The 14,695-nt window shown below is 35.7% G+C and overlaps 1 protein-coding gene across 73 annotated transcripts in view; it reads right to left on the bottom strand.

Annotated features, from left to right (window-relative positions):
* Positions 1-14,695, bottom strand: part of TCERG1 (transcription elongation regulator 1) — a 64,632-nt gene that overhangs the window by 12,956 nt on the left and 36,981 nt on the right. For 63 of the 73 annotated variants that reach the window (NR_174407.1, NR_174406.1, XR_001741983.3 and 60 more), the window contains 2 exons: positions 5,968-6,086; positions 320-470 (listed from right to left, as the gene is read on the bottom strand). Coding sequence is in view for 20 of the 73 variants with exons in the window: in XM_017008978.3 (XP_016864467.1) it covers positions 320-470; positions 5,968-6,086 (270 nt within the window). In the remaining 53 variants the exon portion in view is untranslated. Of the gene's footprint in view, positions 1-319; positions 493-5,967; positions 6,087-12,968; positions 13,294-13,755; positions 13,869-14,695 lie in introns of all 73 variants that reach the window. The other 10 variants (NR_174417.1, NR_174445.1, NR_174430.1 and 7 more) reach the window with 5 other exon arrangements.

Raw genomic sequence — 14,695 nt, 5'->3', positions numbered from 1 at the left:
TATAAAGAATCTTGAAATCTTAGAAGGCACCACTGAGCAGGCAGTCCTAACAACCTGTTCTGAGTTTACCAGGCATCTTAATATTAACACAATTTAAAGCAAAAGTATATAGTTTAGTGAAGCTACTAAAATAAGCATTATGTAAGTAAAGTGATAGAATACATACATACATAAATAATTATAAAAGTTAACTTAAAAGAACAGTCCATGTACGTCCTATTATTTATGCCAATGAATAAGGTTAGAAACATAACACCAGCATAGACCTTTCCCATTCACACTCCCATCAATCACACCACTGGAACTAAAACCATCTTACCTTCTCACCTCTGGTCTTCGAATCTTCTTTCTCTTTCTTCCTAGCAGCGGCCACAAACTCATTAAACAAGGCTTCTCGGTCTTTCATCTTTTCAATTGCTTTGAATCTTGAATCTTTAGCATGCTTGGCTGCAAATTCACTAAAAGTTGCTCTGTAACAAAATTACAAGTGTGCTAACTTTGGCAGTTACTTCTGCTTGTATAAAGGCATAGCAGAAGATACCATTTTTCCAACAAGAGTATATGACAAAGAGACACTGGGACTCAACATCTACCTAACAGTGAACAGTAAGTTTCAGAAAGGAGTAAAAAGAGGTAATGAGCAAAAATGTGGTTAAGGGATTTGTATGCTATCAGCATAGAATTAGGAGAATAAATATTATTATTAAAAAAAAAAAGAAAGAGATCACAGAGTAAAGAATTTGCATGCCTCAAGAGACAAGAGCTCATCAATTTCCACTCTGCGATGAAGCTAAGTCCTTCCTCCAGCCATAATAGAAAAATTCTTATTGGATTAGCTCTCCATACACAACTATAAAACTGGACAAAAGTATATGAGGCAACCGATTTCAAGGAGTAGACAACAGAAAGAGTAAGACTGAAATGCCTGAAAGAAGGGAAATTTATGAGGTGCAGAGAGAGCTCAAGTCCAACTAGAGTACCATAGTCTTAATGAACTGGAGGAAGCAAAGATTAGAGCTTGGGTGAAGAGGAATCTACAAAGAGAGGGTACCCAAGAAAAATCTGACTTAGCGATTACCCATGAGTCCACAGCTAAGGCCAAGTTGTGTAACAGCAGGGAAAGATCACTCTATATATCAAGCTACTACAGGGTTAAGAGCATAGAAGAGATAACAGAGAGTCAGTAGTATTAAAGGGAGAATAGGATCAGGCCAACAAAGTCCACAAAAGATCCACAAGGAAAACAGAGCTGGAAGGCTAAAAGAAACATATTACACTTTCAGAGATTCACATTAACAAAACATAAAGTCAAGCCTAAAATTAAGGTGGCAACCAGTAAATAAACTGCCTACTAAAACAAAAATATCCACTTTTCAATGAAAGGTAACAGACTCCAGAGTCTCTATATATTAGCCACAAAGTCCAATATTCAATCAAAAATCACTAAATATACAAAGAAACGTGATCCATAGAAAAAATTTTTTGAAGTCAATAGAAACCAAACCCAAGATGTCCAGATGTCGTTCTAAGTAGACAATAACTTTAAAACAACTATTACTGGCCAGGTGCAGTGGCTCATGCATGCAATCCCAGCACGTCAGGAGGGCAAGGTAGGAGGATCATTTGAGGCCAGGAGTTCGAGACAAGCCTAAGCAACACAGTGAGACTCCAGCCAGGCACAGTAGCTGACGCCTGTAATCCCAGCTACTTGAGAAGCTGAGGCAAAATAATCTTTTGAACCTGGGAGGCAAAGGCTGTAGAGCCGAGATCGTGCCACTGCACTCCAGCCTGGACAACAGAGCAAGGCCTTGAATCAAAAAAACAAAAACAAAAAAACATAGTGTGGTGGCTCATGGCTGTAATCTCACCACTTTGGGAGGCCAAGGCAGGTGGATCAGTTGAGGTCAGGAGTTCCAAGACCAGCATGGCCAACAAGGTGTAACCCTGTCTCTATTAAAAATACAAAAAAAATTAGCTGGGAGTAGTGGCAGGCACCTGTAATCCCAGCTACTCAGGAGGCTGAGGCAAGAGAAAAACCCAGGAGGCAGAGGTTCCAGTGAGCTGAGATCACGCCACTGCACTCCAGCCTGGGTGACAGAGCAAGACTCTGTCTCAAAAAAAAAAAAAAAAAAAAAACACATAGTGAGGCTCTGTCCCTACAAAAAATTTAAAAATTGGTTGGGCATGGTGGCACACGCATATATTCTCAGCTACTCAGGATGACTGCTTAAGCCCAGGAATCTGAGGCTGCAGTGAGCTGTGACTGAGCCACTGCACCCCAGCCTTAACAACTGAGCAAGACTCTGCCTCTTAAAAAAATAACTAAACAAAACTGTTATTATTACACTGAAAGAATCAAAGAAAAACAGGTTCAAAGAATTGAAAACATGGTCTAAAAATGAATGAACAAATAAGGAGTTTTGGCAGAGATGCAGAAAATATTAAAAAGAACCTAAAACTAATGAAAAAAAATTAACTGGATAGGATTAACATGAGAGTTGACAATTGAATAAGGAGTCAATTATATGAAGTTAGATCACTAACAATTATCTAATCCAAAGAGGAGATAGAAAAAAGACTGAGGTAGGGGAAACAGTCTCAGGGACATGTAAGATAATATCAAACACTAATATATGTGTGATTAGAATCCCAAAAGAGAAAAGAATGAATTAGGGCAGAAAAAATACTAGCCAAAAACTTCCCAAATTTGATGGAAAACATCAATTTATAAATTCAAAAAGCTCAGCAAACTCCAAACAGGTTAAATAAAAGGATGAGGCTTATGAGGGCTAATGAGCCTAAGTTTTAAAAAAGAAGTTTCTCCATAAATAAAAGGCATTATAAAGCTTTCATATATTTGGTATATAGTTTAAATATTTGAAGCTTTAACCAGTGGCGCGATCTTGGCTCACTGCAACCTCCGCCTCCAGGTTCAAGCAATTCTTCTGCCTCAGCCTCCCAAGTAGCTGGGACTACAGGCGCCCACCACCACACCTGGCTAATTTTTGTATTTTTAGTAGAGATGGAGTTTCACCATACTGGCCAGGCTGGTCTCAAACTCCTGACCTCGTGATCCACCTGCCTCGGCCTCCCAAAGTGCTGGGATTACAGGCGCGAGCCACTGCGCCTGGCCAAGAATTTACTCTTATAATTAACAATCCTATATTTAGCATGGTTTTAGAAGAAAAAAAATAAAGATTAGCCCACTTAAAAGCTATTTAGTTATTTAAATGCAAAAATAAAACATTCTCTTGTGTTAAAACAAAGATTATGTTATAGTTTTAATTATAAACAAAAAACTGGCCAGTTAATCTCAATTTAGAACTTAAAACATCAACTGAAGGTTAAGAGTATCACTCACAGCTAACATTTATTATTTTTAAGCTTTGCTGGCCAAGGCTAGATTCTAATAATCTTTTGTATGCAACCAATACTAATCAATATCCAACATTAATTCAACATTTTTAACAATGAATATATTGCAAACCTGGTTTGAACAACAGATACATAACAATAATAAAATGGCATGGTAAAATAAAAATGTATATTCCAGAAAAGGGATCATATGTAGTCCATTAAATGTTTTATTTTCATGATAAATTAAGCCCTTCAGTTTATAATTTTAAGATAGAAAAAGCAACTACAGGTTGGGCATCCCAAATTTGAAATCCAAATGCTCCAAAACCCAAAACTTACTTAGTGCCAACAAGACATTCAATTCAGATTTTTGAATTTGGGATGCTCACGTAGTAAGTATAATACAAATATTCCAAAATTTTTTTTAAAAAATCTGAAATCCAAAAGACTTCTGGTCTCAAGCATTTGGGATAAGGGATAATAAACTTGCATTGTTATGATTAAAGCATAAACTATGATTAAAGAAAAAACCTTTTAAAAAGTGGAAAATCAACGTGTAAAGTGATAACTGATTTATTTTAGACTTATTTCTATTACTTATAGGTAAAATATCTGACACTTTTTATGAGAAAAGACAGAAGTGAACTTTTAGCATTAGATTCCCATGGAGATGTTTTCATATGACTTATTTCTTAACTGTGAAAAAACTACTTTAAAACAAACAGGATAAAAAATATTTTGGAAGGAAGTAGGTAATGGCTGGTGGTGAGTGACAGGGAGATAGTAGTGACCAGAAACTGACTGTGGGAGGTATGACTTAAATTTTCATTAAAAAGAAAAACGACATACAAGAGACAGGCACAGTTCAGTAATTTCCCCCTTTCTTTCCCGTTGGAACAAACTCTGGTGCTCTATATTTACTAGCTCTACTAAAAGGTTCTGCAATATTTTTTCCCACTTTAAAAAAAAAATTAGGCCAACAGACAACATTTTCTCATTTTAAAGTTTTTCCTCCTTGCATTCTTCTAGAACTAAAAATGGTCTTAATTTCTATGCCAGAGTTGGATGTATCAATATAACAATACAGGACAATGCCCTTAGTGCCTGATCGTTTCATTTTATGAAGTAACCTGCATAATACAGATCACTTCAACAATTCTACCTGCCTGAAAAGAACACCAGTAGAGTACTACGATATGGTAAGACTTAGTCATATCTACCAAGGGAAATCTCTTTGGAGTTTCAATTATTCACAGACCCATATGGAGTTTTAATAAATATATTCTGCTGAATGCTTTGGAAATAAGCTGCAGACATCTTAAGACTTCACTTAGAAATATTTCAACATGCAACTCCTGAGAGTAAAGCCTTTTTCCTCCATAACCACAATACCCAAGAAAATTACTAATTCTCTAACATCTAATATCCAATTCTTACCAAGTGACCTCAACTGCCCCCCAAAATGTCTTTTATAACAGAGACTCAACTATTTTGACTCATGATCTCACTCTTTTGACTCAGAAAAAACTCAGGACTCCCTGGAAAGTCTGAACCTCTACTACCCCTGAAGAATATTAAATTCTTCATATCACAAATACTCTATTAGCTTTATTTTCTAAAACTTTTAATACCATATTTCAAATATAAAACTATATTAAACATTCTTCTTAAACAACATCACTCTTTCCTACCTCCACAGACAAAATTAACTATTTATATAAGATGAACGTTTATAATAAGTGCCATTTAACCCAGAGACTCCATGATGCTACCCGACAGTTTTAGAATACTGAGGTATTCCCAGTAACCTAATACCACTACTCTTACATCTAAGTCATAAATAAGAATAATTCCCCCTACCTATACAATTCTGTGCAACACTGAAATCTAATTGAAATCCCAGCTTCACTGGGGCAAGCTACCTAATTTGCTTATCTCATATAAAACAGGTATCACGTAAGTACCTAAATCAAACTACCTGTTCTGAAGACTGAATATCTGTATGCATATATATAAAATTATATGCTTTCAGTCATGTTTACATGTAAATGTATAAATGCATACATATATGTTTTAAAGTGCAAATAAGCACATAAAATACCCAGTAACTGTTATTACTATAAAACTAGGCAAATAAATTTAAAATGTCTCATTTTCTTCAGCCCATTACATGTATTTAATACATATTACCAATCAATTCAAAATGTCAGACATGACCATTAACTAGACACTTAGAAAATTTTGAAATTGAAGTGGTAAAAGGTCCTTCACCACTTCAATTTAATCAAAATAATGTTCCTCCTCTGCAACTCATTATGTATAAAACTTTACAAAGATGAGGCACAGATTTTCTATCATATACTAGTTTCTAAAGAACTTATTCCCATAGGGAAGCACTTAAATCAAAGGTACCCTTCTTAGAGCACTTAGGATTCCTCTAAAGGAAACATAGTAAAAAATAAAGATTAGAAATTTTGGCAAAAACCGATAATCAAATAAGGAGCTTTTAGTGCCCAAATAGTCAAAAAATATCTATTTTTTTAATTTTTAAAAACTGATCTTAGGAGAAAATAAATACACTTTGATATTTAAGAGAAACAAACCACATACCTTGGATTAAATTTTGCTTCTTCCATCATTTTTTTGAAATCTTCCTTGGCTTGCATTATTTTATTTTTCTTTTCCCTGCGTTCTTCCTCTGCCCTGGTCTTTACATACTGATCAAACACCTATTATAAAAATCAACAAATTTGACAAGTCAATCTTTCATATAGGTAATTTAACTACCAAATTATTGGACAATGTCTTTGTCCAAACTATACCAGGAAAAATATATTAACTGTAGATAATTATACACAGATAATCTATACCAAGTTTCACTTTAAAGCTTCACTGAGATATTACACAAGCACACAGCTCTCTACTTAGGCTTCAAGAACAAAAGAAAACAGCAAAAAGCCTCTTTAATTTTTTTCCCGATTATAAATACATGATTATTATAAACATGTCAAGAAATTTAGAAATGCGGAAGAGAAATCACAGTCTTCCCAAATCCCTTTTAGAAAGAAATATCAATGGTATGGAATCTGTAGTATATTTTATTTCCGTGCTTCTCTTAAGACATAAGTATTTTCACTAAAATGTAATCATGCTTTACATCTATTCTATATTTCCCCCACTTAATAATACAGTCAAGATAATGAACTGATCATCTATTTACCACCTACTTCACACCCTACAAAATGACAGAAGAACTTCTTTTTTAAGTCATAACCCAACAATGATTGAGAAAAAAAGAACCAGCAACTTGCAAAGCTGATGGGACAAGTGGAAAAGGATGTGACAGATATGAGAGCACTCAACATAACCTAGCAGTCAAGAAAAACAAAGAGGCAACTCAAGTTTTTTTTTCTGAAACCAGAATCTCCTCAAACAACTCAAGAATAGACAGCATCAGATACCTATGGAGGTGAGGATGGGGCATAGCTAAAATAAGTAGTATTTTAAGGATGAAAAGCTATTTAATAAGTTGTTAAATTGCCAGATGCCCCCACCAACTTAATGTTTCTGGGCACTGCCACTTCTGAATGTAAAAGGCAAGTGACTATTCCAAAGCAAATAATTGGCAAACTATGGCCTACGGGTTGTTTTTATACAGCTCAAGGATAGTTTCTACATTTTTTAAAGGTTGAGGGGAAAAACAAAGTTTCATGACACATGAAAACTAAATAAAATTCAAATGACAGTATTTCCATAAATAAAGCTTTAACTGAACAGCCATGCTTATACCCTTACGTATGTCTACAGGTACTTGACACTTAAAACAGCAGTTGCAAAGTTACAATAGAGACCATATGGCCCACAAAGCCTAAAATACAAATTATCTGACTCTTAAAAATTTGCTGACTGCCTGCTCTAGAAAGTAAAAGAGAGTGTCTTTGAACTAAGGGAATCTGAATTGGGAATAAGGCAAACCAAACTAAAAACATGGAGATTAACCAAACACATACCAAATACTAAGACACAGTTAGTTCTCTCAGATCCGAAGCAGAGAGATCTGTGCCCTCCAGCCAGATTAGAAGTCTTTATTGGGAATCTGACCAGCCTAAAACATTGGCTCCAGGGGTTCTCAACAAACCAGCCTAACTCACCCTACAGCATGTTTCTCAACCTTGGCACAGTGATGTTTTGAGCAAGATGTATACCAGCATCCCTGGCCTCTACCCACTAGATCCCAGCAGCACTCACTTCAATGGTGACAAAAATGTCTCCTGGGGGCAAAACTACTCGTGGTTGAGAACCACCACTCTGCAGTACAGCCCCAAAGCACGAGGGCCCACCTAAATGCTAAGAATACCCAAATAGGCCGGGCAGTGGCTCACACCTGTAATCCCAGCACTCTGGGAGGGCAAGGCAGGAGGATCATTTGAGCTCAGGAGTTCAAGACCAGCCTGGGCAACGTGGCAAAATCCCATCTCTACATGCAAAAAAAAAAAAGAGTACCCAAACAGCATTTTAGTGCTTCACTTAAGTAGTCAGGGTCTACAAGACATCTAAGGAAACTCTCCAACATGAAAAATAGAGCCCTAAAGAGAACAAACTTAGTGGAATCAGAAACTATACAGAAAAATAAAAATATAAAAGAAAAAAATGTTCCTAAACAACCTCACAGAGCTAAGATAATGCACCCATAAGGCAAGAAAAACCTCAAAAAACATAAAAGAACTCTTAGGAATTAAAAGACACAATAAATTTTAAAAATCTAAATAGTTGGTTAATAAAGGCAAGGAAATTATCCAAAAAGTTAAATAAAAAGACAAAGGTAATTAACAGGAAAGAGAAAAAGTTGAAGAACCAATCCATGAAGGCAAATTCAAATTCTGTCCCAGAATGAAAAAACAGAGAAAACTGGAAACAAATTTTTTAAAGTAACACAAGAGAATTTCCCGTAACTAAAAGAGCTGAGTTTCCACACTGAAAAGGTCAGCCAAGTACTGAGCACAATAGACCCTTCCTCTAGGAAAAATACCACTATGGCATTTCAGAATACTAGGGACTAAGAGAGCTACATACTTATAGAGAAAGAAAAACAGATTCACATATAAAGGAATAGGAATGGCTTCAAAAACAACGAACACTAGAAGCAGAGCAATGCCTTTAGCTAGCCAAACAATTCCAAATAAGGGTACAATAAGGGTTTTTCCAAGTATGTTAGGCCTCAAATAAACTTTCCCTGCACATTCTCTCAAGAAGCTACAAAAAGGAAAAGACTTACTATGTAGGGAACAGCTCTATGAACATCTTTATAACAAGTACAACAAAATGTTCCAAAATACCTTCGACATCTTCCCAAGTCAATCCACATATGTCTACCAATCTTCATCCACTGGGTGTCTTGGAACATATCCTCCACAGATAAGGAGGGACTACCATATCTGTGATTACCTGACCAGTCCCCTGCTAGACATGTAAGTCATCTTCAATTTCCTCTAAGTATAGCATTGCAGAAAACCTTTTGAAAGTATTTGCATGCTGAAGAGAGGGAGAAAGTTGTTTCCAACTCCCTTCTCAGTATATACTTACTTATAAATAAAATATTAAATGATACCTAAAATTCAAGGGAATTTGTATTAACTTTCCTTTGAGAATCTAGAAAGAACTTCGTATTCCCTCTGCTGGGCTACCCCAGACCAAGGTTAGGAATCACTCTCTAAGATTAATATCTCATAGAAAATTAGGGGTTGTGTTATGCTTCCAAGTTGCTCCTAATTTGTGTCATGCTTTCCAATACGCTTGGCTTTATGTTCCCTATGTTAAGTGGTTATTTTCTGATAACTTCAACTCATGAACAAAATTTCATAATACAATGAAAATGAGTAAATTTTAAAAATAATTCTGTTAAGTTCACTTTTATAGGCATGAACAAAAATGTATATTAAGGGGCTATACCCTTTAAGCCTTCAAGGCAGCTCTGGAGTGCTTGGAATGTTCCATTTTTTGGATCATGATATATTCATTTTGTGAAATTTCACTTATGATTTTATCTTTTCTGTTTCAAAATACATTTACTAAAAGTAAGTCTCCATTATTTGATTCTCATATTTTTAATTTCACACTGATTCAATGACAAATTATTCAGTAACAGTGGCCCAGATGGTTGACAATTCCGAGTAATCATGTTGGTAACATATTACCATACTGTAATACTGTCAATATTAAAAAGCTCTGAATAACAAATGAGATATTTAAAAGTTTATTTTGGTGTTTTCTCTTAGAGTTCAAGGGCAGGGATTTTTTTAATTGACAAATAATAATTGTACATATTCATGGGGTTACTGTGTTTCAATACATGTGCAATCGAAATGTGTTTAAATACATATCATGTAGTGATGAGATCAAGGTAATTAGCATATCAATCTCAAACATTTATCATTTGTGTTGGAAAAACGTTTAATATCCTCCTTCTGGCTACTCGAAACTACTTACTATTGTTAACCAGTCATCCTACAGGGCTACACAACGCCAGGACTTAATCTTCCTATCCAGTTTTAATTATGTATCCTTTAACAAATCTCTTCCTATCCTCCCAAGTTCTCCCTACCCCTCTCAGCCTTCAGTAGCCTCTGTTCTACTTTTGACTTCTATGACATCAACTTTCTTTTGCTTCCACATGTGTGAAAACATAAGATGTTTATCTTTCTGTTCTTGGCTTATTTCACTTAACATGACTTCCAGTTCCATCGATGTTGCTGCAAATGACAGGATTTCATTCTTTTTTATGGCTAACCACATTTTCTTTATCCAGTCATCTGTTGTTGGACACCTAGGTTGATTCTGTATCTTGGTTACTGTGAACAGTGCTACAGTAAACATTAGGGTACAGATATCTCTTCAATATAATGATGTCTTTTCCTTTCAATACATACCTGATAGGGGGATTGCTGGATCATATCGTTGTTCTGTTTTTAGTTTTTCGAGGAACCTCCATACTGTTTTCCATAGTGGATATACTAGTTTAAATTCTAACCAACAGTATATAAAGAGTTCCCTTTTCTGAGTATCCTTGCCAGTATTCGTTATTTCTTCCTCTTTTATGTAAGTCATCCTAACTGAGTGAGACACCTCACTGCTGTTTTGATTTGCATTTCCCCAATGATTAGTGATGTTGAGCATTTTTTCATATATTTATTGGCCATTTGTATGTTTTGAGAAATGTCTGTTCAGATCATCTGCCCATTTGTTAGTAAGATCTGTTTTTTTCTGTTGGGATGACTGAGTTCCTTGTACATTTTGGACATTTAATTCCCTATCAAATAAGTAGTTAGCAAATATTTTCTCCCATTCTGTAGGATGTCTTCACTGTTGTTTCCCTTGCTATGGAGAACTGTTTTAATTTGATGTAACCCCATTTGTTTATTCTTGCTTGTGCTTTTGAGGTCTTATTTGTAAAATCTTTTCCCAGTCAATGTCTGGAATTATTTCCTCTATGGTTTTTTTCTAGTAGTTTTATCATTTCAGGTCATATATGTAGGTCTTTGATCTATTTTGAGTTGATTTTCAGATAGGCTAAGAGGTGGGGTTCTAATTTCATTTCTTCTGCATATAGATTTCCAGTTTTCCCAGCATCATTTATTGAAGAGACTGTTCTTGCCACAGTGAGTGTTCTTGGCACCTTTGTCAAAATAAGTTGCCTATAGATATATGGATTAATTTCTGAGTTCCCTATTCTGTTCCTTTGGTCTATGTGTCTGTTTTTATGCCAGTACCGTACTGTTTTAGTTACTACAGCTCTCTAGCATATTTTGAAGTCTGGTACTACGATACGTCCAGCTTTGTTCTTTTTGCTTAGGATTGCTTTGGCTATTTTAAGTCTTTTTTGGTTTCACAAAAATTTTAGGATTTTTTTTTTTTTTTTTTGAAACAGGGTCTTGTTCTGTTGCCTGGGCTGGAGTGCAGTAGCGGTCATAGCTCACTGTAACCTCAAACTCCTGGATCAAGTGATCCCCACACCTTAGTCTCCCAAGTAGCTTGGACTATAGGTGCACGACACCACACCTGGCTAGTTCTTGCATTTTTTTGTAGAGAGATCTCACTATGACAGTCTCAAACTCCTGGCCTCAAGTGATCTCCTGCCTTGGTTTTCTAAAGTGGTGGGATTACAGGCGTGAGCCACCTTGCCTATCCAGATTTTTTTCTTCCAGTGACATTCTGTTTTGAATGTCACTCGTATTTTGATACAGATTGCACTGAATCTGTAGATTGCTTTGGAGAGTACTGCCACTTTAACAATATTAATTATTCTGATCCATGAGCTTGGGATGTCTTTCCCTTTGTATCCTGTTCAGTTTCTTTCATCAGTATCTTATAATCTTCCTTATGGGGGTCTTTCACTTGTTTGGTTAAATTTAATTCTTAGTTATCTTATTTATTTGGCACTATTGTAAATGGGATTGCTTTCTTGATTTCTTTTTCAGCTAGTTCACTGTGTACAGAAACACTATTGTTTTGGATATTTAATATCCTGTAATTTTCCTGAATCAGTTTAGCAGTTCTTTTTTTTTGAGACAGAGTCTTGCTGTCACCCAGGGTGGAGTGCGATGGCACAATCTCGGTTCACTGCAACCTCCACTTCCTGGATTCAAGCAATTCTTGTGCCTCAGCCACCTAACTAGCTGGGATGAAAGGCATGCACCACCACCCCTGGCTAATTTTTGTATTTTTAGTAGAGATATTTTTAGTAGAGATGAGGTTTCGCCATGTTGGCCAGGCTGGTCTCGAACTCCTGACCTCATGTGATCCGCCTGCCTTGGCCTCATAAAGTGCTGGGATTACAGGCATGAGCCACCACGCCCACCCTGAATTTATCAGTTCTAAGAGATTTTTAGTAGCATCTTTAGGTTTTTCCATATGTAAGATCCTGTCATCTGCAAAAAGAAACAAGTTGACTTCTTCCTTTCCAATCTGGATACCCTCTATTTCTTTCTCTTGCCTAATTGCTCTGGCTAAGACTTCCAGCACTATGTTGACTAAGAGTGGTGAAAGTGGGTATCCTTGTCTTCTTCCAGTTCTTAGAGGAAAAGCTTTTAAAATGTTTATTTTGAAATAAGATAAGAGAGAACTTATTTTAAAGTGTTAATAGCATAACGACTATCTATGTCAGAACCTAGTAGCATCCTTTATGCAAATGGTCTAGTTTTTATGGAAAATGTTATTCAATTAAAATTTGTCATAACAAATAAAACAAAAACATTTCAGACCCCTTAAGTAAACTTTATCAAAAGAAAATTCTAAGTTAAAATTTATGGTTACAATTATATAAAATACATCTTTTATAATGATACAGAATGTACACGAATCTACAAATAACTAGAAAAGGACAACTGAAATATAATTTTGTATTACAAGGCATTTCCAATGAAGTTATTAGTGTTTTCTAAATCAAAGCACAAACTGCAAATATGAAATTACAAAGTGCAAATGTGTAATGTGCAACCTAGCACCTTTCTGGTTGTTCATTTTATACTCCTATGCAAATAATAAAACCAAGTATTCAAAAAACGTGTTTATTTTTAAATGCCAAATGTTAACTACTACTTCTTCTCAGTTCTTACATTCTGATTGTTGAGAGAAGAATTCTATTTAAAAGCCATGAAAGGCCAGGCGTGGTGGCTCACGCCTGTAATCCCAACACTTTGTGAGGCCAAGGCAGGCGGATTACTTGAGGTCCGGTGTTCAAGACCAGCCTGGCCAGCATGGTGAAACTCTGTCTCTACTAAAGATAGAAAAATTAGCCGGGCATGGTGGTGCACGCTTGTAATCCCAGCTACTTGGGAGGCTAAGGTGGGAGGATCACTTGAACCCTGAGAGGCAGAGGCTGCAGTAAGATGAGATGGCGCCACTGCACTCCAGTCTGGGCAACAGAGCAAGACTCCATCTCTAAATAAATAGATGCATAAAATAAATAAATAAATAAATGGCATGAGAACTTTTAACTAGAGATTTTATTGAAAACAGAACACTAGAATAATATTTTCTCTTTTCAAACGTAATTCTATTAAGGAGATACCACCATCAGCTTATAGAATGCTTCAAAAATTGGGAAAGAACTATAGTTCTCAATATGTTACTTCTAATTTCACTATAACACTCAGTACCAGGAGGAATACGTCATAAAAGTTTTAAAGCCTTCAGAGATATTTAGATTAGGCAATGTTCCAGGCACTACAAATAAAGCAATGAAGACAAAGTTTCTAGCCTCATACAATTTATATTTTGCAGGAGGAGGAGACAAATAATAAAAACATAATTTTATACAATTAGAGCCATGAGCACCATAAAGAAATTAGAAAAGGCAAAGAGACAATACTTAGATTGATTAGAAGGCACTGGGACAAGTACCTTAATGAAATGAAGCTGGCTGTACTAACACCTGGAGGAAAAACAGTCCAGGCAGAAGGAATAGCAAACACCAGAATGACTGGCTTGTTCAAGTAATATCAGGGCCAGTGTGGCTGTAATCAACAGACATTAAAAAAGACCATCAAGAGGTATACAGGGGTAAGTCTATGTAGAATATTAGAGACCATGAAAAGAGCTTCAATTTTATTCTCAATGAAATGGAAAGCACTAAACAGTTTTAAGCAAGGGAACAGTGACTTAATTTAGTATCACTTAAACTTTAAAATTAGCCTGGCTGCTGTGTGGAAAAAGAACTTGACTAAAGAGGAACAAGAACAGATGGAATGAAGGAGATCAACAATAGGCTACACAGATGATAAGGGTTGTTTATGGTGGCTTGGATTAGGGTGTTAATGGGGGAAATGATTAATAAAAGGTGAGATTTTGAAAATTTTTTGAAGGTAGATTATAGATTTGCTGATAAGACTGTAAAGGGGAAGTGGGAAAAGTAAGGAATCAAGGCTAATTTATAAATTTTGATAGAGCCATAAACTGAAATGAGAATAAAAAACTCACACAGAGTTTGTTTTTTAAAAAAGATACAAAGCTTAAAATGAAGATGCAAATACATTAAGGAAGTTATGTCTTTCTATTCCAAGTACTAAAATACATATCTGGCACATTGTAAATTTTCTCCCTTCATTCAAGTCCATGATTAGACCTACATGCATAATGGTACACACCATGTGAAGAATTATTTCAATTGTTACATTAAAAATATCAAAGATGGGCACTACTGTTACCAAATGAAATCTTACAGCTTAACAGCACTATAGCAAGTGGTTCCACATACTCACCATTTTATGGAGATCAGTGTCAGGATAGTTCAGGTAATTCAGAAATTAAGTAAGTTGGAAGTGTGCAATGCTTTAGAAGAGGC

This window comes from Homo sapiens, chromosome 5 (genome assembly GCF_000001405.40).
Source record: "Homo sapiens chromosome 5, GRCh38.p14 Primary Assembly".
In the NCBI taxonomy this organism is placed as follows: Eukaryota; Metazoa; Chordata; class Mammalia; order Primates; family Hominidae; genus Homo; species Homo sapiens.
This window is presented reverse-complemented; position numbering and strand designations above follow the sequence as displayed.